Source organism: Homo sapiens, chromosome 11 (genome assembly GCF_000001405.40).
Source record: "Homo sapiens chromosome 11, GRCh38.p14 Primary Assembly".
Taxonomy (NCBI): domain Eukaryota; kingdom Metazoa; phylum Chordata; class Mammalia; order Primates; family Hominidae; genus Homo; species Homo sapiens.
The window spans coordinates 9,891,207-9,917,782 of record NC_000011.10 but is presented as its reverse complement, the minus strand read 5'-3'; the positions used below and the strand labels follow the sequence as shown (position 1 = coordinate 9,917,782).

At 39.6% G+C, this 26,576-nt stretch overlaps 1 protein-coding gene and 1 long non-coding RNA gene across 12 annotated transcripts in view, besides 3 other annotated features; one reads left to right on the top strand and one right to left on the bottom strand.

Annotated features, from left to right (window-relative positions):
- Positions 1-26,576, top strand: part of SBF2 (SET binding factor 2) — a 526,174-nt gene that overhangs the window by 387,059 nt on the left and 112,539 nt on the right. For all 11 annotated transcript variants that reach the window (NM_001425069.1, NM_001425070.1, NM_001424318.1 and 8 more), the window contains one exon: positions 21,772-21,840. In NM_001425069.1, the coding sequence (NP_001411998.1) occupies positions 21,772-21,840 (69 nt within the window). The remainder of the gene's footprint in view (positions 1-21,771; positions 21,841-26,576) is intronic.
- LOC101928008 (uncharacterized) overlaps positions 1-26,576 on the bottom strand; it is a 90,122-nt gene that overhangs the window by 11,481 nt on the left and 52,065 nt on the right. The window contains exon 2 of the long non-coding RNA NR_120539.1: positions 2,100-2,177. This is a non-coding gene — a long non-coding RNA (uncharacterized LOC101928008). The remainder of the gene's footprint in view (positions 1-2,099; positions 2,178-26,576) is intronic.
- Positions 11,191-11,775: an enhancer, noted in NCBI's record as "OCT4-NANOG-H3K27ac hESC enhancer chr11:9927555-9928139 (GRCh37/hg19 assembly coordinates)". NCBI's record gives its function as "activates a minimal SCP1, AML or CMV promoter by ChIP-STARR-seq in naive and primed H9 embryonic stem cells {active_cell/tissue: H9 hESC(naive and primed)}" and the evidence as "EXISTENCE:reporter gene assay evidence [ECO:0000049][PMID:30033119]".
- Positions 23,139-23,639: an enhancer, noted in NCBI's record as "H3K27ac hESC enhancer chr11:9915691-9916191 (GRCh37/hg19 assembly coordinates)". NCBI's record gives its function as "activates a minimal SCP1, AML or CMV promoter by ChIP-STARR-seq in primed H9 embryonic stem cells {active_cell/tissue: H9 hESC(primed)}" and the evidence as "EXISTENCE:reporter gene assay evidence [ECO:0000049][PMID:30033119]".
- Positions 23,640-24,140: an enhancer, noted in NCBI's record as "H3K27ac hESC enhancer chr11:9915190-9915690 (GRCh37/hg19 assembly coordinates)". NCBI's record gives its function as "activates a minimal SCP1, AML or CMV promoter by ChIP-STARR-seq in primed H9 embryonic stem cells {active_cell/tissue: H9 hESC(primed)}" and the evidence as "EXISTENCE:reporter gene assay evidence [ECO:0000049][PMID:30033119]".

Genomic DNA, 26,576 nt, shown 5'->3' with positions numbered 1-26,576 from the left:
CTGGCGATACAGATTCCAGTGGTGCTTTATATTACAAAAATGGTCGCGCTAACCTCAGGAAGGCACGTACCATAAGAAGAGATCTGAAGATGAAAAAAAAAAGTGAGGAATACTAATATTAAGAAGGGAAGATAGAATAATAAAAACTTGTGGCTGGGCGCAGTGGCTCATGCCTGTAATCCCAGCACTTTGGGAGGCCGAGGCGGGTGGATCACTTGAGCTCAGGAGTTCAAGACCAGCCTGGGCAACATGGTGAAACCCCATCTCTGGTAAAAATATAAAAATTAGCTGGGCCTGGTGGTGTGTGCCTGTAATCCCAGCTACTAGGGAGGCTGAGGCAGGAGAATTGCTTGAACTCGGGAGGCGGAGGTTGCAGGGAGCCAAGACCGTGTCACTGCACTTCAGCCTGGGTGACAGAGGGAGATTCTGTCTCAAAACAAAAACAAAAACAAAAAAACTTGTAATGGGACCTGAGACAAAAGAAGGTCACAGAGGCCAAGGAAGGAAATCAGTTCAAGAATAAAGTGACTTTATAAAAGATAAATTATATAAATAAATATATGATCTGCAATTAGGAAGAAAATGAAGTATTGACACCAAAGTGTTACATTGATATTCAAAGATGGCAGGATTTATCACAAGATATTTTGCTTTCTTTTCACTTACATGTATTTCCTAGATCTTTCATATTGAAATGGAAGTTTGTGAGTTTTTTTTAAATGAAAATAAAAAAAAGAACACATGTGTAATCTTAAATGGTACAGAGGTTAAATTAAATGTCTAAGTATAATCCATTTGGTTGATAAGGGTGGGGGTTACAGAAGGCCCAAGCCAAACAAGAGGCTGTTGATCTTCTGACTAGTATCCAATTTTATGTTGTCATTAAGAAACAAGTTCAGGGTCAGGCATGGTAATTTGCTCCTGTACTCTTAGCACTTGGGAGGCTGAGGCAAGAGGATCACTTGAGGCCAGAATTTCAAGACCAGCCTAAACAACGTAGTGAGACCCCATCCCTACAAAAAATTTAAAAATTAGCCAGATGTGTGTAATCTCAGCTACTCAGGAGGCTGAGCAGGAGGATCACTTGAGCCCAGTAGTTCAAGGTTGCAGTGAGCCATGACTGCACCACTGCACTCCAGCCTGGGCAACAGAGCAAGACCCTGTCTCAAAAAAAAGAAAAAAAAGGAAAAGAAAGAAAAAGATGTAAGTTCAGGACTTGCACATTGTTTCTTAGTATTTCCAAGGCCGCTTTCATGTTACTATCCTGACCACCTGTAACACTTCACATTTCACCGAGTGTGAAAAAAATGTATTGAAGCACAGGGAAATATGTGAAATATAGATATAAATATATTTCATTCATTGTGTGCAACTGGATTTTGAATTTCAAAAACATTTTCATTAATAATGCTCAGCAGGAACAATTACATTCTTAAAATTTAAAATTTTTCTGCCAGTGTTTGATTTTGACCATTGACAATAACATTTCAGGATATTTTTCTTGAAACTGAGAGCTAGCTAAGCTTTTCTCTGATCTTCTATTATCATCTTTTTATGATATAAGTCATAAAGAAAATTATCCCTAGTTATTTGTGATAGTTGATTATATAAGTATTTGATTAGTTTATCTTTGCTAGTATTATAAAGGCAACATTATGATAGCTCATAGATTTAAAATGCTAAAAATTACTATTTGGTTTTTTTGTTTGTCTGTTTTTGGAGACAGAATCTCACTCTGTCACTTGGGCTGGAGTACAGTGGTGCAATCTTGGCTCACTGCAACCTCCGCCTCCCAGGTTCAAGCGATTCTCCTGTCTCAGCTTCCAGAGTAGCTGGGGTTACAGGTGCACACCACCACACCTGGCTAATTTTTGTATTTTTAGTAGACATGGGGTTTCACCATATTGGTCAGGCTGGTCTCGAACTCTTGGACCTTAGGTGATCCACCCACCTTGGCCTCCCAAAGTGCTGGGATTACAGGAATGAGCCACCGTGCCCAGCCTATTTGGTTTCTTATGACATTTTTTATATATATGAAGCTTTTTCTAATGTACAGAATGGTTTTTTATACATTTTATTTATTTGGTCAACCTACTAACCTTTCTAAATATGACAGATTTATAATTCAGTTTCCTTTTTTCTCACAGGAACCTTAAGTCTGGTCTTTAATTTTTTTTCTGAAAGAAAAGCAAAAAAAATTACAGTAGCAACTTTGAAACTATGTAAACTGTACAAATTATTAATGTTATCTCTTCATGGGTAAGTCCATCTTTTCCTTGTTTTAAAGTTAGAGGAAGCAGTTTATCAGCTAGAATTTCTTTTTTTTTTTTTTTTTTTGAGACGGACTCTTGCTCTGTTACCAGACTGGAGTACAGTGGCGCGATCTCGGCTTACTGCAGTCTCCACTTCCCGGGTTCAAGCAATTCTCCTGCCTCAGCCTCCCAAGTATCTGGGACTACAGGCACGTGCCACCACGCCCAGCTAATTTTTGTATTTTTAGTAGAGATAGGGTTTCACCATGGTGGCCAGGACCGTCTCAATCTCTTGACCTCATGATCTGCCCGCCTCGGCCTCCCAAAGTGCTGGGATTACAGGCGTGAGCCACTGCACCCGGCCTTCTTTTTCAAGTACTCTCTTTCCTTGGCTTCCATAATGAAACATTTCTAGCATATCCTTCTGTCTCTCTGGCCATTTCATCTCCATCTTCACAAGTTCATCCTTCTCCACTTGTCTTTTAATTTTTGAAGCCTTATATTCTTTTTCTTTTTAATAGACTTTATTTTTTAAAACAGTTTTTAGTTCACAGCAACAGTGAGCAAAAGTTACAGAGATTTTCTGTATACCACCTGCCCCCCGCACATCTATAGCCCCCCCCACTATAAACACCCTGTAACATAGTGGTATATTTGTTACAGTTGGTGAACCTACATTAACACATCATTGTGACCCAAAGTGCGCATTTTACATTAGGGTTCATTCTTGGTGTTGTACAGATTTATATTTTGCCAATATTTTCTCTTAATCTGTGGCTTATTTTTTCATTCTCTTGATGGTATCTTTCACAGAACAGAAAATTTTGATTTTTGTGAAGCCTCACTTATCAGTTATTTCTTTCATGGATCATGCTTTTGATAGTGTGTCCAAAAAGTTATTGCCAAGCCCAAGGTTGTCTGTATTTTCCCCTGTGTAACCTTCTAGGAGTTTTATAGTTTTGCATTTACACTAAGGTATCTGGTCCGTTTTGACATATTTTTTGTGAAGTGTGTAAAGTCTCTGTCCAGGTTCTGCTTTTGCATTTGGATGTCCAGTTGGGCCAGCATCATTTGTTGAAAAGACTATTTTGCTTCCATCCTACTGCCTTTGCTCCTTTGTCAAAGATCAGTTTACTGTATCTATGCAGATCTGTTTCTTGGCTCTCAGAGATTCTTTCCTCAGCCATGACCGGTCTACCACTAAGCCCATCAAAGGCATTCTTTATTTCTGTTAACTGTGTTTTTGATCTCTAGCATTACTTTTTGGTTCTTTCTAGGAATTTCCATCTTTCTACTTATATTGTCCGTCTATTCTTGTGTGCTGTCTACTTTATCCAGTGGAGCCCCTAGCATATTAATCACAGCTGTTTTAAATTCCTGGTCTGATAATTTCAACATACCTCCATATCTAAGTCTGTTTCTGATACTTGCTGTCTCTTCAGTCTATGTTTTTGGCCTTTTAGTATGCCTCATAATTTTATCTTGATAGCCAAATGTGATATACTATGTAAAAGGAACTGCTATAAGGCCTGGTGTGGTGGCTCATAATGCCTGTAATCGCAGCACTTTGGGAGTCCAGAGCAGGTGGATGGCTTGAGCCCAGGAATTAGAAACCTGCCTGGGCAACATAGTGAGACCCTGTCTCTACTTAAACAACAGCAACAACAACAACCAAAAGGAGCTGCTGTAAGTAGGCCTTTACTAATGTATTGTGGTAAAGTGTCAGGGAAGAGAAGCGTTCTGTAGTTCTGTGATTTGGTCTTAGTTTTCTGGTGAGCCCATACCTCTGGACTGTCACTCCTACATTTTATTCATGTGGACATTTTGGTTTTTTCCACATCTCAGCTATTTTATTTTATTTTATTTTATTTTATTTTATTTTATTTTTTTAATCTCAGCTATTTTAAACAACTCTGTTAAAAAACATCATTGCCATGCAATTCTAGTACACTTGTATATAAGTGTTAGAATATATACCTAGGAATGGAATTGCTAGGTCATAGGATATGCATATGTTCAACTTTATTAAATGAGGTCAAATGTTTTTTTCTAAGTAATTATACTAGTCTCATTCCCACAAGAAACTCCATTATTGTTTCACATCCTTATCAACACTTGTCAGCCTTTTTAATTTTTCCCAATCTGGTGGCTGTGTAATGCTATCTCTTTGTGATTATAATTTGCATTTACTACTGAAGTTGAGCAATTTTTCATGTCTCTTGGACATTCTAGTTTTCTCATTTTGTTTGTTTGTTTGAGACAGAGTCTCGCCCTGTCGCCCAGGCTGGAGTGCAGTGGCGCGATCTCAGCCCACTGCAATCTCCACTCAAATGGTCCTCCCACCTCAACCTCCTGAATAGCTGAGACTACAGGCACATGCCACCACACCGAGGTAATTTTTGTATTTTTCATAGAAACAGGGTTTCACCATGTTGCCCAGGCTGGTCTTGAACTCCTGGGCTCAAGCCATCAACCCCTGTCAGCCTCCCAAAATGGGGTTACGGGTGTGAACCACCACACCCAGCACGGTTTTCTCTTTTTTGAAGTACCTGTTTACATTTTTACCCAACTTTTTCTGAGTTACCTCTTTTGTTCTTAATGTTTTATAGTAATTCTTTATATAGTCTGGATAACAGTTATATGTTTTACAAATGTCTTCTTGTATGCAATATGCAGTGACTTGTCATTTGACTCTTCATGATGCCATTTTATAAATTTTTAAATTGACAGTGGGGATACATGCTGAGAAATGTGTAGCTTGACAATTTTGTTGTTGTCTACTTAGGCAAACTAATTTTTTAAAATAAGTAGGAGTGTACTGTAGATGGTACCAGGAATGTCCAATCTTTTGGCTTCCCTGGGCCACATTGGAAGAAGAATTGTGGTGGGCCACAGATAAAATACACTAAAAATAGCCAATGAGCTAAAAATTAGAATTTTTTTCTTTTGAGACGGAGTCTTGCTATGTTTGCCCAGGCTGGAGTGCAGTGGAGTGATCTCGGCTCACTGCAACCTCCGCATCCCAGGTTCAAGCTATTCTGCCTCAGCCTCCCAAGTAGCTGAGACTACAGGCACCTGCCACTACACCCAGCTAATTTTTGTATTTTTAGTAGAGATGGGGTTTCACCATGTTGGCCAGGCTGGTCTTGAACTCCTGACCTTGTGATTCGCCTGCCTTAGCCTTCCAAAGTGCTGGAATTACAGGCGTGAGCCACCGCACCCAGCTAAAAAATAACAAAAAAAATTTATAGAGTGCAGTGGAGTGATCTCGGCTCACTGCAACCTCCGCATCCCAGGTTCAAGCTATTCTGCCTCAGCCTCCCGAGTAGCTGAGATTACAGGCACCCGCCACTATGCCCAGCTAATTTTTGTATTTTTAGTAGAGATGGGGTTTCACCATGTTGGCCAGGCTGGTCTTGAACTCCTAACCTTGTGATTTGCCTGCCTTAGCCTCCCAAAGTGCTGGGATTACAGGCGTGAGCCACCGCACCCAGCTAAAAAATAACAAAAAAAATTTATAGTGTTTTTAAAAAGTTTATGAATTGTGTTGGGCACATTGAAAGCTGTCCTGGGCTGCATGTGGCCTGTGGGCCGCGTGTTGGACAAGCTTGGTTAGCGTATTCCACGCCTAGGTTATATGGTATAGCCTATCGCTCCAAGGTTACAAATCTGTACAGCACATTACTATACTGAATACTGTAGGCAGTTGTAACACAATGGTAAGTATTTGTATATCTAAACATATCTACACATAGAAATGGTAAAGCAAAAATACAGTATAAAAGATTAAGAATGGTACACCTGTATAGGACAATTACCGTGAATGGAGCTTGCAGGACTGAAAGTTGTTCTGGGTGAGTCAGTGAGTGGTGAGTGAATGTGAAGGTCTAGGACATCACTGTATGCTACTGTAGACTTTATAAACACTTTACATTTAGACTACACTGAATTTATTTTTTTAATTTCTTCAAAAATACATTAAACTTAGCTTGCTATAACTTTTTTGCTTTACAAAATTTTTAATTTTTTAAACTATTTGACTCTTTTGTAATAACACTTAGCTTAAAAGCCACGGTATTGTATAGCCATACAAAAATATTTTCTTTCATTATATCTTTATAAGTGTTTTCAATTTTTTTTTTTTTTTGAGACAGAGTCTCGCTCTGTCACCTAGGCTGGAGTGCACTGGCATGATCTTGGCTCACTGAAACTTCTGCCTCCTTGAAACTTCCACCTCCCAGGTTCAAGTAATTCTCCGCCTCAGCCTCCTGAGTAGCTGGGATTACAGGCACCCACCACCACACCCGACTAATTTTTTGTATTTTTAGTAGAGACGGGGTTTCACCAATCTTGGCCAGGCTGGTCTTGAACTCCTGACCTCATGATCCACCTGACTCGGCCTCCCAAAGTTCTGGGATTACAGGCATGAGCCACCGTGCCCAGTCGTGTTTTTTTTGTTTTTTTTGTTTTTTTGAGATGGAGTCTTGCTGTGTCACCAGGCTGGAGTGCAGTGGGGCGATCTCAGCTCACTGCAACCTCTTCCTCCCAGGTTCAAGCAATTCCCCTGCCTCAGCCTCCTGAGTAGCTGGGACTACAGGCGTGCACCACCATGCCCAGCTAATTTTTTTTTTTTTTTTTTTGTATTTTAGTAGAGACAAGTTTTCACCATGTTGGCCAAATGGTCTCAATCTCCTGACCTCATGATCCACCTGCTTTGGCCTCCCATGGTGCTGGGATTACAGGTGTGAGCCACCGTACCCAGCCCCAGCTGTGTTTTCTATTTTTAATAGAAAAGTAGAAAAAAGTAAAAAAAAGTTGTTTTTTTTTTACTTTTTAAACTTGTTCATTAAAAATGAAGACACAAATCCACACATTAGCCTAGACCTACACAGGGTCAGGATCATCCATATCACTGTCTTCCACCACCACATCTTGTCTCACTGGAAGTTCTTCAGGGGCAGTAACACACATGGAGCTGTCATCTCCTGTGATAACAGTGCCTTCTAGAATACCTACTGAAGGACTTGCCTTGGGCTATTTTACCATTAGCTATTTTTTTTAATAAGTAGAAGTGTACTCTAAAATAATGATTAAAAGTATAGTGTAGTAAATACATAAGCCAGTAACATACTCATTTATTATCATTCAGTATTATGTACTGTACAAATTGTATGTGCTATATTTTTATGAGACTGGCAGCACAGTAGGTTTGTTTACACCAACATCAGCCCAAATGTCTGAGTAATGTGTTACACTGTGCTCTCTTGGATGTTACAATGGCTAAAATGTCACTAGGCAATAAGAATTTTTCAGCTCCATTATAGTCATATGTGACCACCATCATATATGCAGTCCATCATTGACCAAAACATCATTATAAGGCCACGTGACTATAGTTGAATTTATTAGTCTTTTTCTCGGTGACTGTGCTTTTTTGTATCATAAGAAATGTTCCCCTAACCTGAAGTCATGAACACATTTTTTTATGTTACCATCTAACCTTCACCCACGTGGAACTGATTTTGCATGTAGTTTGAAGTAAGAGTCCAATTTTATTTTATTTTTCCATATTTCTGCCCAACAGCCTCAGCATCATATATTAAAATATATATCATTTCTTCTTTGATCTGCCATGCCAGGAATGGCATGTCAGGAATGGCAATATTTTTTGATGGGAAGTCCTAGGCCTAGATACTATTCCAATAGTTATTGAAGACTCTGAGCTATAGAAGGTTAGGTTTCAGTAGGTTAACTTCTGAAAATAAACCCACAGACTACAGATGTTTACAACTTAACTTCTCACTAAGATTTGAGTGTTTTTACCACAAAGTCGTCAGGGTATCTTTTTTTTTTTTTTTTTTGAGACAGAGTCTCGCTCTGTCACCCAGGCTGGAGTGCAGTGGCGCAATCTCGGCTCACCGCAAGCTCCACCTCCCGGGTTCATGCCATTCTCCTGCCTCAGCCTCCCGAGTAGCTGGGACTACAGGTGCCCGCCACCACGCCCGGCTAATTTTTGTATTTTTAGTAGAGGTGGGGTTTCACTGTGTTAGCCAGGATGGTCTCGATCTCCTGACCTCATGATCCACCCGCCTCGGCCTCCCAAAGTGCTGGGATTACAGGCGTAAGCCACCGCGCCCAGCCGCCTCAGGGTATCTTATATTGTAAGTCAGGTTTTTTTTACCTTCCTTCTAAGGTCAAAAGGAAAAAAAAAAGAGAGAAAGTATGGGGGTAAATACAAAACCAACAGAATAGAAAACAAAAACCTTCCAAAATAAGTGGTTAGGCTAAAGTGAGTTCCTTAGAATAAAACTGCACATTTGAGAAGTGATTTCATAAAAAGGAATCACTATACTAATACTTTATTTTCTCTTTTAGCTGTATTTGTAAAATAGCTTTCTTTTCATTTTTAGAGTAATCTTTCTTTTGTTTAGTAATATTCACTGAACATCTATTATGTATAACACAATCATTGCCCTCAAAAGGCCTTATGACTAATTAGGGAGGATATGCAGTATACATAATTTTAATACAAAGTAAAGAATAGGCTGGGTATGATGGCTCACATCTGTAATCCCAGCACTTTGGGAGGCTGAGGTGAGAGGATCGCTTGAGCTCAGGAGTTCAAGACCAGCCTGAGCAACGTGGCGGAACCTCATCTTTACAAAAAAAAAAAAAAAAATTAGCCATGCGCAGTGGCACATGCCTGTAGTCCCAGCTGCTTGGGAGGATCGCTTGAACTCGGGAGGTCAAGGCTACAGTGAGCCAAAATCACACCACCGCACTTCAGCCTGGGGGACAGAGTGAGACCCTGCCCTTTCTAAAACAACAACAACAGCAACAACAAGATTATGAACAGATGGCATTTGGGCCAAAAATTTAAATAAAGATAAGACTTTTTTTTTTTGAGACGGAGTCTCGCTCTGTCGCCTAGGCTGGAGTGCAGTAGCGTGATCTCGGCTCACTGCAAGCTCCGCCTCCCGGGTTCACGCCATTCTCCTGCCTCAGCCTCCTGAGTAGCTGGGACTACAGGCGCCCGCCACCACGCCTGGCTAATTTTTTTTGCATTTTTAGTAGAGACGGGGTTTCACCGTGTTAGCCAGGATGGTCTCGATCTCCTGACCTCGTGATCTACCCGCCTCGGCCTCCCAAAGTGCTGGGATTACAGGCGTGAGCCACCGCACCAAGCCCCCCATCTGCCTTCTCTATTCACAATTTCCAGTACTCCTGTTAGGTATATTTTAGAAGCTTTAACTTCATCCTCTATATTTTGTAATGTTTTTAAATTCCTAAATATAGAGATAAAATGAACACATAAGAAAAAAATTTTCTTCAAGCCCTTCCATTGCATTTTAATTGTAACAATTATGTTTTTAATTGCTTTTTCATAGATGTATAGTTTCAAACTCTCTTGAGGATATTATTTATAATTCACTAGAAGGTTTCTTTTTCATGAATTATGTTTCCACAGACTCCATTTTTATATTCAGTTCAGTATCTTACTTGAGAGGCAAGAGAACGTTGAGGTTTCAAGCACAAATACTGGAGTAAGACTATCCAGGTTCAAATTCTGGCTCTGCCATTTGTGGCTATATAATCGCAAGCAAATAATTTAACCTCTGAGAGGCTCAGTTTCATTATCAACAAAAAGGACATAATTACAGTACCTATCTAATCGAGATGTTGTGAAGATTAAATGAAATAATATCTGTAAATTCATACTTCAAATATGTGTGATACTTAGTAAACACTTAATAAGTGCTAACTAATTATTACCATATGCCAGGTGCAGTGTTCTAGTTTCCAGGCATATAAAGTTAAAAGTGACTTGGTCCATTCACTCAAATAACTTAAAATAAAGCTTGATATTATTTGTCAAGCCTAGCATTCACCTTCTATTGCAATGGGAGTCATTGTGCATATAAATAACAGTGGTATTCAAAACTGTGGTACATCCTTTATGGTTTTGTAGGTTTATTTAATGTTAAAATATAACTTGAAGCTGAAACTGTAATAAAAAAATCCTTTTGCCTATTTTTTGCTTAACATTGTACTTGGAAAGAAGGGAGAAATATGGGGGCATGCATATGAAAATACCAAGGAGAAAGCATGTAAATGACAAACCAAAGCATGGATGGGCTTCCTCAACCGTATTAGATATGGTAGGAGTAAGTATGATGTGGAATAGAAGGTGATAAATAAAATAGGTTGACTAAAGCAGCAGCTTGTGGCAGGGGCCCATATGGTCGGGTGGGTAGAGAGGTGGATCCGTACCGAGAAGGGCTAATAAGCCTGGCAGAAGAGTTTGGTCATTATTCTATAATGGTCAGAAAATAGCTGAATTTTTGAATAGGAGAGTAATGTGATACAGAGAGGAATTTGTGTTTTTAATTTTTGTCCTTATGTAGAAGATGCAAATGTTTTCAGTGTTTTGGGCAATTCAAAAAAACTTTTTTCTGAGCTGTGTCTAATCTAAACTCTAAAGGAAAGTCAGTTCTGTAACACATTGTTCCTTTCAATCTAGTTTTTTCTTTAATGTTTAAATATAACATTTTTTAGAGATTCCAGAGTTTTATCAAACTGGAATGTTGGCAACAACAGTTCAAAGGTATCTAGGTTAAAAGTACGAAGTAATTGAGGATAATGGGAAATTAAGATTGCAGGGCTCACTCTTCAATTGTAGCAGGAAAATTAAAGGTAAATTACAAAGCAAAGTTCAGAATAAAACATGTATCAGTATTCAAGACCTTGCAAGTTTATAAAATGTCTGGTATGTTTATTACTACAATGCTATTATTTGGCCAAAGCACAGGGGACTTCAGATTGTGTATTTATGGACTGATTCCCCAACAGATAACCACACAATTCTGGAATGCGGTTGCTGTGTCAATAGTTGTAGACTTATTGTTGTAAATTTTTTCCCTCTTTCAACCTAATTAACTTAGAATGTCTCTAACGTGATTTGCAAAGAATTTTTTATTTATATTTTGCAATCAGCATTTGAGCAGCACACAGGTTTGAGACATGCACTACAATGAGTAAACATTTTGTAAGATAATAAATAGTGCCCACTAGTCTAAATGTTTTATGATTGCCTGTTCCCTGCTAATTGGTCATGGATTGAAATTCCCCATTGTTTAATTTTTTTAATTTGTGGAAAATTATTATAAATGAGTGTGTAGGGCTTCATATCACAGCTGTTGTCATTTAAAGTTTGGACAGTGTCATTACAAATGAAGCCCTGCTGTGAAATCAAAGTCAAAAGGCATCTTGGCATCCCAACCATTTCCTTGGGAGAAGATTACAGCTCAAGTCTGTTGAACTTTATTGCCTTGGGCCTCATGACAGTCTTCAGAAACATGCAAGGCATTTCTGTTAAAGAAATTCAGATGTGCTAGGACACAGATGACATTCTTGTGCATAGCAGTGTCCTAAGGGGGTGAGGAATAAGTCAGGAAGAAAAAGATGATTCATACTTTTTGCTGCATTCTGGGATTATTATATATAATCCATAGAGAGGATGGAGACCTTGCAGAGATACCACATAGGAAAAAGGTGCGGTGTTTTCCTACATGGCCTGACTGTATTTTAAAATAAAAACCTAAACACGACTCCAAGGTAATGACTGCCTTCAAAGTAATATTTTAGTTGATTTTAATATTCTCTTTGAAGGAAGTTCTCATTGACTCATATTTCTTTTCTCCCTCTCCTTTCTCACACACATTCATTTCCAGAGGTTTGACTGAGGGAGAGCTGCTACTGAGTTTTAACAGTCACTCTTTTTATATGTAAAACTCATGTTCTTGAATTTAAAACAAAAGATTACTTGTTCTGACTTAAAAATCTATCTAACCAGTAACTGGGCTCCAACAAAGGTCCCCACAGAGACATCATAAAAGAACATCATTGTCCTCTAATTTAAGGATGTATCTTATTCAGCCATGAATTTATCTCATCCCTTTAAAATGTGTTCTTATTTGTCATCCCTATTTCCTCCTGGGATAAAGAGATTCCTGAGTTCATTAGCTACAGCATGCCTGGCACATAGTAGATACTCAATAAATATTTGTTGAGTAAATGAAAATCGTTATTCAAAGGAAAATCCTGATTACGCTCAATGTTAATTCTGGAAATCCAAGACCTAGTAAGATCATTTGTTCTACTGTTCTTTCAGCTTTGTATGACATTCAAAAAGGCATATCACTCATTCAACAACTTGCCATAAATATTGATAACTGCTTCTTAATAAAAATGCCATTAAATTGCTTATAATCTAGTGAAGAGACATACAAGTAAATAGATAATCACAATAGAGTGTGATATGCTAAGCATTTCCTAGCCTCAGTGATAATAACATTTATTGAGTACTTTCTATGTACCAGGTACAATTTTAAGTATTTTACATGCATTAATGATTTCTAACTTAATTGCATTGTGAGCTGACAACTCTGTCTATATGATTCAAAACATTTTGAAATTTACTGATAGTTTTTTGTTTTGTTTTGTTCTTGAGACAGGGTCTTGCTTTGTCACCCAGGCTGGAAGGCCACGTGATACAATCATGGCTCACTGTAGCCTCCACCTGCTCGGCTCAAGTGATTCTCCCATCTCTGCTTCCCAAGTATCTGGGAGTACAGGCACATGACACCACACCCAACTAATTTTTAATAATTTGTAGAGATGAGCTCTTACTATCACTCAGGCTGGTCTTGAACTCCTGAGCTCAAGCAATCCTCTCACCTCGGCCTCCCAAAGTTCTGTGATTATAGGTGTGAGCCACCATACCCAGCCCTGATACTTATTTTATGGACCAGTATGAGGTCAATTTTTTTAAATCCATGTGAACAGTTCTGGGTACAGTGTTAGAAAGTGCAGTGTCCATTAGAGCAAGCAAGTTTTTGTATACAGTGTTCTATACATATCTATTAGCTCTAACGTTTACAGTATTTCTTTTAATCTTCAATATGATGACTGATTTTTCTACCTGCTTGAACTATCAGTTACTGAGAGAGGTATATTAAAATATTTTAGCATGATTGTAAATTTATCTGTTTTTCCTTTTACATCTGTCAGTTTTTGCTTTGTATACTTTGAGGCTAAGTTATTAGGTTTATATACATTTAAATTGTTATAGCTTTCTGGTAGATTGAGCTATTTATTATTATGTAGTGCTTCATTTTATCCCTAGTAATGCATTTTGCCTTAAAGAGTATTTTATATTCTGATTATTAATATAGCTACCCCAACTTCTTTTGGTATTTGCCTGGTACATATTTTTTCATCCTTTAAATTTCGTGTATCCTTAAGTTTTATATATATATATGTTGTTTATAAGCAACAAATATTTAGATTCTGTTTTTAGATTCAGTGTCAATCTTTGTTTTTTTAACCAGAACATTTGGTCCATTTGTGTTATTGTATTTGTATTTGTTACAAGTAGTTAGACAGGCATGAGCGGGGCAGGAGAAAGCTGTCCCCCACCCTCTAGGAATGTCAGGTGATAGTTGGGCAGTTATCACTTTGCCTCTCTAAAAGTGATAAATTGGCAGCTGGCACCAGGGAGAGTCCATTTCCTGATTGTCCACACCTGGTACACTAAAGTGTTAATTGAATGCAGGCACCAGGGAGAAGCAACTTCCTGGGCATGAGCATTAAGAGACAAAATGGCAGAGTATGACCTCCCAGGGGCACACCACCCAAAAAGGGAAGAAAGCCACAGATGGGCGTGCATACAACTTCCTAAACACACTGCGCATGCTCACCTCCCAAGTGTAAGGAGGGCACTGCACTTATGAGTAGCCCAGCCTAAGGGAAGAATCATGGGAAAGGGGCCAGCGTATAAATAAAGTCCTAGGATCAAGGTTAAAATGGCACTTGACCTTCACGTGCCCGCTTGGGTCTCTTCCAAGCATTATTTCATTTCTTTCCCGTTCTAAAGCTTTTTAAAATAAACTTCCACTCCTGCTCTGAAACTTGCCTCGGTCTCTTTTTATGCCTTATGCCCCTCAGTCCAATTCTTTCTTCTGAGGAGGCAAGAATTGAGCTTGCTGCAGACGCATATGGATTCACCATCAGTAATACCTTGGATACCTTGACTGGTAACATATTTGGTGCTGTGAGACTCAGATATTTGCCACCACTAACACATTTATTCCTACCATCTTATTTTTTTTCTTTTTCTGATTGTTTCCCTTTTCTTTTTCTTTTTTTTTGAGACGGAATCTTGCTCTGTCGCCCAGGCTGGTGTGCAGTGGCACGATCTTGGCTCACTGCAAGCTCTGCCTCCCGGGTTCACGCCCTTCTCCTGCCTCAGCCTCCCTAGTAGCTGGGACTACAGATGCCTGCCACCACACCTGGCTAATTTTTTGTATTTTTTAGTAGAGACGGGGTTTCACTGTGTTAGCCAGGATGGTCTTGATCTCCTGACCTCGTGATCCGCCTGCCTCAGCCTCCCAAAGTGCTGGGATTACAGGCGTGAGTCACCGCGCACGGCCAATTGTTTCCCTTTTCTGAGTTTCTTTTTCCACTTCTTTTTTGTTTTCCCTTGGGTTCAGGTTTGTTGTTTTTTTTTTTTATTTTCCTATTATTCCATTTTTTCCTCCACTAGTTTGGAAGTTGCAACCCACTCTATTTCTGTTTCTTTCATGATAATACAGAAATTCTTAAAGGCTTACTTAATTTATCAAAATCTATCAAAATCTAACTCCAATCCACTCCCTTAGAAAGTCTATGCTACCATGGTTGTATAGTTTAGTTGTATCTTAACTTTCTTTGCTATCAAAAGACAGTATTGTCATTGTTTTATACAGTCAATGTGTGTTTAGATTTACCTACATATTTATCTCTTTTTTGGCTCAGTTATCTTCTTACATCTCAGACTTTCTATCTGGTGTCATAGATGGCTTTAGAGATCCCAGGATTATTGTCATTCTTGTTAATTGAAAAATCAAATCTGTAAAATATTTTAAAGAGGCTTATTCTGAGCCACTAGGAGTGACCACAGCCCGGTAGTTGGGTTGCAGTTTAATTTTATATATTCTAGGGAGACAGAAATTGTAGGTAAAATCATAAATCAATACATGGAAGGTGTACCTTGGTTCGTCCTAAAGAGGTGGGATATCTTGTGGGGTGGTGGCTTACAGGTCATAGGTGGATTCAAAGATTTTCTGATTGGCTACTGATTGAAAGAGTTAAGCTTTGTATAAATACTTGATGTCAGTAGAGTAGAAAGAAATGCTTGAGTCAAGATAAGGGAGTTGTGGAGGTCAAAGCCCTTATTATGTAGATGAAGCCTCATAGGTAGTAGCCCTCAGAGAGAATAGATGGTACATGTCTCTTTTTAGACCATAAAAGTGTCAGACTCCCAGCTAATCTCTCCCACAGCTGAGAAAGTCCTAGAAAGGGAAGGCCTGGCTGCATTAATGGAGATTCTTTACAGATGCAGATTTCTCCCACAACAGATGACTTTGCAGGGCCATTTCACAATATGTCAAAGAAAAATATTTTGATTTCCTTCAGGGTCTTCTATCTATCATGTGATGCTGTATCAGAATCAGGTTGGAAAGGAAGCTGCTTTATGCTGGGATAATTTTAAAAACCTGTTTTCATGCCTATGATCCCAGCACTTTGGGAGGCCAAATGTGGGAGGATCACTTGAGTTCAGGAGTTTGATTCCATCCTGGCCAGTAAGGTGAAACCCCATCTCTACAAAAAATACAAAAATTACCTGGGCGTGGTAGCACATGCCTGTATTCCCAGCTATTCAGGAGGCTGAGGTGGGAGGATCACCTGAGCCCAGGAGGTCGCAGCTGCAGTGAGCGCACACTGCACCACAGCACTCCAGCCTCCAGAGTGAGACCCTGTCTCAAAATATAAAAATTTAAAAAAAACCCATTTAATGAGATTTTATGGTTTATAGGGTATGACTTAACCCCTGCCTTGCATGGCCTTAGGTCGTGTTTATAATCTGGTATCTTATTGCCACAAAGAGTCTGTTTTGTCAGATCTGTAATTTTACCTAAACACCAAAAGGGAGAGGGCGTAATGGGGCGTGTCTGACCTCCCTTCCTGTTATGGCCAGGAATTCAGTTTTTCAGGTTTCGCTGGGATCCCTTTGGCCAGGGGTCTATTCATTTGGTTGTAGGGCTCAGGATTTCATTTTTGGTTTATATTCTTCTAATGGACTTCCTCCCTTTAGCAAGTGCTAGTCTTTTTGTCCTATCCCTTGAGTCTCTTGAGTTCACAACTAATACTAAAATTTGCTCACCACCAGTTCCTAAGTTAAAATTTAGCTTCAGTGCTCTGTTTATCTTTCCAAGTTTCTACTTATATTTTGGTCTGCATATTCCTTGCTTTCTTGCCAATTTATTGCATTGTATTAAAGATTTTAAAATATTTTATCTATCATTTAAAATTATTTTTAGAAAAATTGCCTTTCAGATTATGAAAACAACCATAAGTCAAGAAATAAAAATCCATAAGTAAATTTTAAAATGATCTTTTGGGCTGGGTGTCATGGCTTATGCCTGTAATCCCAGCATTTTGAGAGGTGGAGGCAGAAGGAAGCAGGAGTCCAAGACCAGCTTGGACAACATAGTGAAACCCTGCCTCTACAAAAAAAAAATTAAAAATTAGCTGGGTGCGGTGATGCGTGCCTGTAGTCCCAACTACTTGGAAGGCTGAGGCAGGAGGATCGCTTGAGCCCAGGAGTTCAGGGCTGCAGTAAACTATGATTGTGCCACTGCACAGCCTAGGCAACAGAGCAGGATCCTGTCTAAGAACATTTAAAAAAAATTTTTTTAAATGATCTTTTTGTTATAAATAAAGTTTCAGTGCCGCAAAAGAAATAGCACTCAAATATAAAATTGTCTTTTTCTCAGCAAGGCAAGTTACTTCTATAGAAGGGTGCACCCTTACAGATGGAGCAATGGTGAGCTCACACTTGGACAAGGGAAGGGAAGGGGTTCTTATCCCTGACGCACGTGGCCCCTGCTGCTGCGTCCTTCCCCTATTGGCTAGGGTTAGACCGCACAGGCTAAACTAATTCCGATTGGCTAATTTAAAGAGAGTGACAGGGTGAGTGGTTTGGTGGGAAAAATGGTTATGCAGGGTGGAGAATGAGTCAGGGCGGAGCAGGTATCACATAATTGGAATGAGTCAGGGCGGAGCTGGTAACTGGAATGAGTCAGGGTGGAGCAGTAATCGAAAAAGGTTGCTTTATGAGGAAGTTAAGTTTAAAAGTAGAAGGCAAAGAATTGAACATACTGACATATTGATTCTTTAAAATGAAATTTAGAACTCGTATCTAACATTTTGGTTGGAATTCTTTCATAGGATTTTTGATGATCTTAAATCATCATTTTCCAAAATATATTCTACAACTGCTTTCTTTTAAAATACTCAGTGAAACTGGGTTTACAAATGCTGTATACCGAATTCCCTTCATGGAGTCACAGTTTAAAATCCTGCCAAATCCTGTTTTTTTTTTTTAAAAAAAAAAAAAAAGAAGAAAAGGAAAACCTTGTTTAATTTTGTTTACCCAGCATTTCCCCAATTCCCCCCAAGTAACAGCTATCAGTACTCTACAGAGCTAGTATTAGCAGAATAGTTTAAAGAGCTCTCCCCACTCATCCTCCCCTCACCATAAAAATAGGAAGTCCTGAGTCTTCCTTGCAGAACCAAGCTGCTTTTTCCTCATATGTTATATCTGATGATATCATCAGGGATCTTGCTGTTTAATATAAATTCTAGATATTTGCTTTTTATGATGTTTTCAGGGTCTAACCATGCCTTAGAAATGGGGACCATATTGACTACCAGACGTATCTCAGAGTCCTCAGTCTACTAGTGATCTTTCTTTTTCCTCTCTCTCCTCCATTGGAGTTTCCCTTTTAGTGTACTTGGGACCCTTCTAATTCTCAAGAATCAAAGGATTGGATAAAATCTCACCGTTCATCTAGTTGAGCCCTGTTGAGATTCATTAAACAATAAATTTAGATGTAATAACTCTTCAAGTGGCTTTTTTTTTTTTTTGACAGTGTCTCTCTGTGTCACCCAGGCTGGGGTGTCACGGCATGATCATAGTTTGCTGCAGCCTCAAACTCCCAAGCTCAAGCGATCCTCCCATCTCAGCCTCCCAAGTAGCTGGGACTACATGCATGCACCATCATACCTGGCCAGTTTTTTTTTTTTTTTTAATTTTTTGTAGAAGCAGAGTCACCCTATATTGCCCAGGCTGATCTTAAACTCCTGGGCTCAAGCAGTCCTCCTGCCTTGGCTTCCCAAAGTGCTCAGATTATAAGTATGAACCACCACACCCAGCCCAAGTGACTATTTTATTGCTCTCCTTTCCAACCTTGAAGATTTATAGTCAGGGCCTTTTGTTTTATTCTACTCACCTGTTCTCTAATAATTTCAGAAATCACCAGTGACCTCTTATATTCATCAGTTTCTCATGTTTTTGTTGTTGTTTTTTTTTTAATCTTTATTTTACTAAACTTCCTCTAAAGCATGTAACACTGTTGGTCATTTCCTCTTAACATCTGTGATACCATTCTCACCAGTTCTCCTTCCCCATCTTGATTTTCCTCTCTGCCTTTATATAAATACATATCTTTCCCAAGTTTCTGTCCTTAGCCCCTTTTTCTCATTGTTCTCCTTATGTTTATTCCTTTATTTATTCACTTATTCATTTCTCCAATAAATGTTTATTCAATAGGATGAATTAGTTAAAATATTATTTTTAGCATAATATAGGAAGCTTGAGCCTATCTTTTACTTTTTTATTTTTAACTGGGTCACAGAATGTGAGCCATATGAGAATGACTTTTTACTGCTGAGATTTATCTTATAATCCTTTTTTTAAAAGACAGGTCTCACTCCGTTGCCCAGGCTGGAGTGCAATGGCACCATCTGAGTTCACTGCAACCTGTGCCTCCCAGGTTCAAGCGATTCTCCTGCCTCAGCCTCCTGAGTAGCTGGGACTACATGCACAGGCCACTGTGCCCAGCTAGTTTTTGTATTTTTTGTAAAGACAGGGTTTCACCATGTTGCCCAGGCTGGTCTTGAACTCCTGAGCTCAGGTGATCCACCCGCCTCTGCCTCCTAAAGTGCTGGGATTACAGGTGTGAACCACCGTGCCCAGCCTTATAATCCATTATTGTTTCAGTAGTCATTGCAATAGAACATGCAGTAAATTCTAAACTGTTTTTCAGAATTGACAATACATGAAATTCAATTGAAAACTCTTTTAGCTGATCCTAGTACCAAAAGCACTCAGGCTAGAAAGACTAGCTTTAGACTAGATGGCCACTTCTAGGCTAAGCTCTTGAAAGAAAGTTTCTTCCTTTTTCCTCAGGGCAGTACTACGCCCTCCCCATCCGCAGCAGTAGTTTGAAATAGGCAAAGATTATCTTTGCCTATTTCCCTTCTGACTCTTCCTCACTTCTGACTTTCCCTTCTGACTCTTCCTCCTGTTTTCTGGAGTGCTTCTCCCGGGCACTAGTGCACTTAGGCAGCTCTAAGCCTTCTGCTGCTCTCCTGGTCAGGTTAGTTCTCACCACCCTCACACTCTAAAATTAGTGCTGGAAGTTCAGACAATCCATATGTTCTACCTCAAAAATTAAAGGAAAGCAAGTACAAAAGGCAGTGTCTAGAGGAAAAAACACCACACTGATAGGTAGATAAATCCAGACTCCAGTTGTGGCTCTGTGGCTGACACCTATGCCTCTTTTCTCTAGTCTGGAAAGTGGAGGAATTGCACTGGAATAATTGATGTCTAAGGTCCCAGCTCTATGAGTTTAAAATCATTTCATGCAAACTTATAACGGATGGATGAGGAGTTTTGATGGAGATAGCTACATTGTCTAAGGTCAGGGCTTTAATCACTATTCTTCACCCACTAGGAAAATCAATTGCAGCTTTTGCAGCCATTGTGGGCACTATTCTGGATTCTGGCCACATTGGACCCCACTGCTAGACAGAGGAAGGACTGGTTAATATAACTGTATGAAAATATCTATCCGCCGGGCATGGTGGTTCATGCCTGTGATCCCAGCACTTTGGGAGGCTGAGACAGGCGGATCACTTGAGGTCAGGAGTTAAACCCCGTCTCTACTAAAAATATAAAAATTAGCCGAGTGTGGTGGCATGTGCCTATAATCCCAGCTACTCGGGAGGCTGAAGCATGAGAATCGCTTTAACCTGGGAGACTGAGGTTACCGTGAGCTGAGATCACACCACTGCACTCCAACCCTGGGTGACAGAGCAAGACTCTGTCTCAAAAAAAAAAATTATCTAACATAATGTCCATGTGGTAGCATGTGTCAGAATTTCTTTTTAAGGCTGAATATTCTATGCATCTATGTGTGTGTGCTTGTATACCGCATTGTGTTTATTCACTTATCTGTCAACAGACACCTGGGTCACTTTCACCTTTTGCCTATTGTGAATAATGCTTCTGTGAACATGAGTATACAAAAACCTGTTTGAGTTCTTGTTTTCCATTATTTTGGGTATATGCCCAGAAGAAGAATAACTGTAATATACAGTAATTCTATATTTATTTTTTGCATGTGTGGAATCGCTATACTGTTTTCCACAGTCACTGTGCCATTTTACCTTCCCACTGAGATTTCCTGACCTTTCTATTCATCAGCATTTCACTCAATGGGTTTTAGAATCAGTGATATATCTTGTCTGATCAATAGAAAGATCCTCCCCGCCCCACCCCCCTTTTTTTTTTTTTGAGACGGAGTCTCATTCTGTTGTCCAGGCTGGAGTGCAGTGGTGGGATCTTGGCTCACTGCAACCTCCACCTCCCGGGTTCAAGCGATTCTCCTGCTTCAGCCTCCCAAGTAGCTGGGATTACAGGCGCCCGCCACCATGCCTGGCTTTTTGTATTTTTAGTAGAGACAGGGTTTCACCATGTTGGCCAGGCTGGTCTCGAACTCCTGACCTCAGGTGATCTGCCCGCCTCAGCCTCCCAAAGTGCTGGGATTACAGGCATGAGCCACCGCGCCCAGCCTGAAAGATAACCCTTTTTATATAACAATAAGAAAGAAAAAAATATCTCCAGTCAATTATAAGATGATCCCCATCTCAGAAATGTTAAAATGTGCAAAAAAATGTATCTTAGACTCAATGGAATACAGTTGCTGAATATACTAAAACTTCCTCCAAAAAAAAATTTGTGTAAGTTACACAACTTTTAACAATCTTTGTAGAGCAGGAAAGTAAAGGTGGCTACTCAGCAATAATGTATGAAAATACCTTTCTCAAATATACTTTTACCTTATTTATAAAAGAATGTGCTTCACACACAGTTTTTTCCCCCAAAACTTACCTAGCTATGTCTTAATGGCAATTTGGAATAAGAGTACAAACCCCTCCGTCAGGTCCTCTGCAAAATAAAAAGGTAAAAACCCCATAGGACAGTAAACAGTGTATCCCAGATGTTAGTTCGCATGTATTTGTGATTTCTGGTAAATATCCTAATGCTCTTTTGTCTTTGTTTTGCTTAAAGGATTGTTCAAGTTTAGAAGAATACAACATTGCCGCAGCATTACTCCCTTTGACCAGTGCTTTCTATAGGGTAAGTTTCATTGGTCCATATATAAGCTTGTTATGATTTACATAAATGTATTCAGTTTGATTTATTATGGAACTACATGAAAATCCTGTCCTCTTAGTAGCATGCCTAAGATATATCTGCGGTTATATTTATTATAACATTTATTGCATGCTATGTGTAGGAAATTTAATATAGAACACTAAATCATCTCCTAAAATACCACCCACACCCGTTACATCCTTTTCCTTAATTTTCTTTATAGTACTTCATAACACCTGAATTTATGTTGCATATTGGTTTGTTTACATGTTTTTTCCCCATCACAGAAAGTAAATTTCATGAGGCTGGAATATTGTCTGTCCTCTTTACTGCTATGTCCCAGGGCCACTCAGTAAATATTTATTGAATGAATGACATTGAAGCCAGAAATTAGAGTTTAACTTTACTGGTAATTTCTGCGAACCTTCTGAGAACTTTCTGGAATGTTCACAGTGATTTTTTAAAATTCTGTCACTTACTACAGTTATATCTATGCTTTTTCATAAATAGATTCATTCTTATGGCAGAAAAAACCAGCAAATTTCTTTTCCCGTGAAGGACTTGTAAAGAATTAGATAACCACCCACACTCAGAACAATGCATTTAATACATCCTTCTGAAATATGCAATCATAAACAGTAAATCTGTGGTAGCAGCTGACTTACTATTCAGCTACATGCACAGTCAGCTTCAGGAAGCAATAAGTTAACAAGTTTGGTAACTGCCATACTGTTTCTCTGTGTTAGCAGATTAATCATACATAGGTTTTAGTGGTGGGCTTAGATTTGATTTTTTGTGGTTGGCATGGTTTGTTGTTGGATGAGTTTGTTTTGGGTTATTTTGGTTTAGGGATGAATCAGTCAAGGTCTAGTCAGGAGCCAGAAACCACACCAGTAATTTGAACAGAGAAATTTTGTTTTATTTTTATTTATTTATTTATTGAGACAGAGTTTTAGCTCTTGTTGCCCAGGCTAGAGTGCAATGGCTCAATCTCGGCTCATTGCAACCTCCTCCTCCCATGTTCAAGTGATTCTCCTGCCTCAGTTGCCCAAGTGGCTGGGGTTATAGGCATGTACCACCACACTTGGCTGAGTTTTTGTATTTTTAGTAGAAATGGGGTTTCACCATGTTGGTCAGGCTGGTCTCAAACTCCTGACCTCAGGTGATCCACCTGCCTCGGCCTCCCAAAGTGCTGGGATTACAGGCATGAGCTACTGCGCCTGGCCTATTTTTATTTTTTTGAGGCAGTGTTTCACTCTGTTGCCCAGGCTGTAGTGCAGTGGCACAATCTTAGCTCCCTACAGCCTCTGCCTCCTGGGCTCAAGTGATCCTCCCATCTCAGCCTCCCAAGTAGCTGGAACTACAGGCACACACCACCACACCCAGCTAATTTTTTTTTTCTTTTTTTGTGACAGGGTCTCGCTCTGTCGCCCAGGCTAGAGTGTAGTGGCGCGATTTCAGCTCGCTGCAACCTCCACCTCCCAGGTTCAAGTGATTCTCCTGCCTCAGCCTCCCGAGTAGGTGGGACTACAGGCACGTGCCACCACACCCAGCTAATTTTTGTGTTTTTAGTAGAGACAGGGTTTCACCGTGTTGGCCAGAATGGTCTTGATCTCCTGACCTTGTGATCCGCCTGCCTTGGCCTCCCAAAGTGCTGGGATTACAGGTGTGAACCACCATGTCCAGCAGATTTTTTGTATTTTTTTGTAGAGACAGAGTTTCACCATGTTGCCCAGGCTGGTCTAAAATTCCTAGACTCAAGCTGTCTGCCCACCTTGGCCTCCCAAAGTGCTGCAATTACAGGGGTGAGCCACCACGCCTGGCTGATTTTTGTATTTTTTTGTAGAGACAGAGTTTCATCATGTTGCCCAGGCTGGTCTCAAATTCCTAGACTCAAGCTGTCTGCCCACTTTGGCCTCACAAAGTGCTGCGATTACAGTGGTGAGCCACCACGCCTGACCAGAAATTTTAATATAAGGAGTTATTAAGTAGTAATAGGGGATTAACTACTAAGAGGTAAAGAGAATTCGTAAGAATGCAGGAATAAAATATAGGGAGCAACTACTACCTCTAGGGCTCAGGCATACTACCTAACAAAGAAGCAAACTTGGAAGAGAGCCCCTTCCCAGATCTAGGCTGATTCAGATCATGTTGGAGAGGTGTTGTGGCCACTGGATGGCATCGAATTTCAAGAGACCAGAACTGGCAAGCAGTAAACTGCCTGCTGGAGTGCTGGCAAGACTTGCTAGGAAGCCCCCCACTAGGATGGCCGTGAAACTTCTAGGGTGCTAGTGAAACTTGATAGGAAGCTACCACCTGGGGTACCACTGAAACTTTATAGATAGCACTGCCACTGTGGTCCCACACACCACCATTAGGTGCTTACCACAGGAGCAAGAAGGAGAAAGTACACCAGAACTAGGAAGAGAATACACTTTCTACTGCAGTGTTCCTTCAGCACCTTTACTGGCAAAGCTTAATATTCTGCATTTTGGCAAAGGAGAAATGTTTATAAGGGCCAGTTCCAGTATCACAAAGCAAGACAGAGAAGGATAGATTTGGAAGAAAGAAGTACTGCATTGATAACAGAGGGGTTAGGTAAGGTAGATCACACGGATTCTCGGATATTTTCTAAATCTTTACCCTTTGGAAAATTATTTCTAGTGCATATTAGATTTGTTAATTCAGGAAGTAGATGTAAATTACATATTCCTGGGCACAAATTGCAAATTAGCCATCCTCATACTGTCCAGCCAGTATAAATTCCTGGGTCTTGCCAGCATTGCTTCAGAGAATGGACTCAGCTGCTTGTCTTGTTTAAACTTACTTTTAAAATACTTTAAATAACATTATTAATTTTTTTCAGTGGAACAAAAGTTTATTGAGTATCTCAATATAAAAAGCTACTATAACAGGCAACATCTGGGCAGCAACATTAATAAAACATTGACATGGTCCCTAGGAACTTATATTAATAGTCTAATACTGCAGATAATTTTTAAAAATCAAACTGGTCCACAATGCCACCAACCAGATGGACATTATCTTAAGTAAAAGTTATGTATATACCGGGTACGGTGGCTCATGCCTGTAATCCCAAAACTTTGGGAGGCCGAGGCGGGCGGATCACCTGAGGTTGGGAGTTGAAGACCAGCCTGACCAACATGGAGAATCCCCATCTCTACTAAAAATACGAAATTAGCCGGGCGTGGTGGCGTATGCCTGTAATCCCAGCTACTTGAGAGGCTGTGGCAGGAGAATTGCTTGAACCTTGGAGGCGGAGGTTGCCATGAACCGAGAGCGCACCATTGTACTCCAGCCTGGGCAACAAGAGCAAAACTCCGTCTAAAAAAAAAAAATTATATATATATATATATTTTCCAGATAGTACAGAAAGGAACAAAATGCAAAGTAAAAGTTCCCTTTTCCACCTTCACCCCATTTCCTCTGAACCATTGGTTTCCTTCCTGGGGAAAAGGAGTGGGAATGAGGGTCAGGGGCCAGGGAAGAGTCACGCATTACTGCCAGCACATGCAGATAAAAATTTTCTTTTTTTTGGTGGTGGATCACTTGAGGCCAGGAGTTCGAGACCAGCCTGGCCAACATGGTGAAACCCCATCTCTACTAAAAATACAAAAATCAGCCAGCCATGGTGGAGTGTGCCTATAGTCCCAGCTACTCAGGAGGCTGGGGAAGGAGAATCACTTGAACTCAGGAGGCAGAGGCTGCAGTGAGCCGAGATCACGCCACTGCACTCCAGCCTGGGTGACAGAGCAAGACTATGTCTCAAAATAAAAATAAAAATAATTTTTTTTAAAAGTATCGTTTTTAACAAAAACAAACCATTTACTCTATTTTCACACCTTGATTCTTTCACTTAGTGGTACATCTTGGTCATCCTCTCATAATAGCACATATACCTAATTATTTTTAATTAATCCATTTATATTTGTAATGAAAAGATGGTATATATGTACCTACTATTCTCATATGAGCAGGATATTTCATTAGCCCAGATGAAAGGTTATGTTTATCTTTTAGAGTTTTATTTAGTGTCAGAGTGTTCAAGGTTTCCCACTTGTAACATCGCCTGTCTTAGATCCTTTGGAATTTGTCATGCGACAGCCACCACAAATTATTTTTTCCCCTGGATTGTAAGCCTACAGTTCCTTCTTACTTCTTTCCACTTTTACTAAGTAACATGTAATTCATTAACTCTTACGGAAGCCTTCTTTGAAGGTGGTACCTTAACAGCCAGGTTTAAATTCTTAGGATTACTTTTACTGTGAAAAATAATGTAATCTTTTATACTTATGTTTGTTGTTTATATGGTACTTTCATTTTCGATTTCAATTTATTAGCTATGCCAAGCCCTGTGCTTATATCTGTTTCAGAGTAATCACAGATTAGTAACACATAATCCCTTACCCTCACGACACATACTAATGGCCTTTCATATCCATTGATCAGCTGTTGACAGTAGAGGAATCGTTTCAAAGTTGATGAATAATAACATTGGGCTACTCATTGATTTACTTATGCCCTTTGCATTTAAAGATTATGTTTATTAAATTCAGAGCCAGAGTGTATACTGAGAATATGTAAAGCAGGGGTTCATGTCTAAAGGTTACTTTTTTAGAAGGAAAATAATAAAGTAAAACCCAGTAGAGCAGAAATAGAACCACAGTAGCATACTTTTGTATTATTCCTTCCCAACA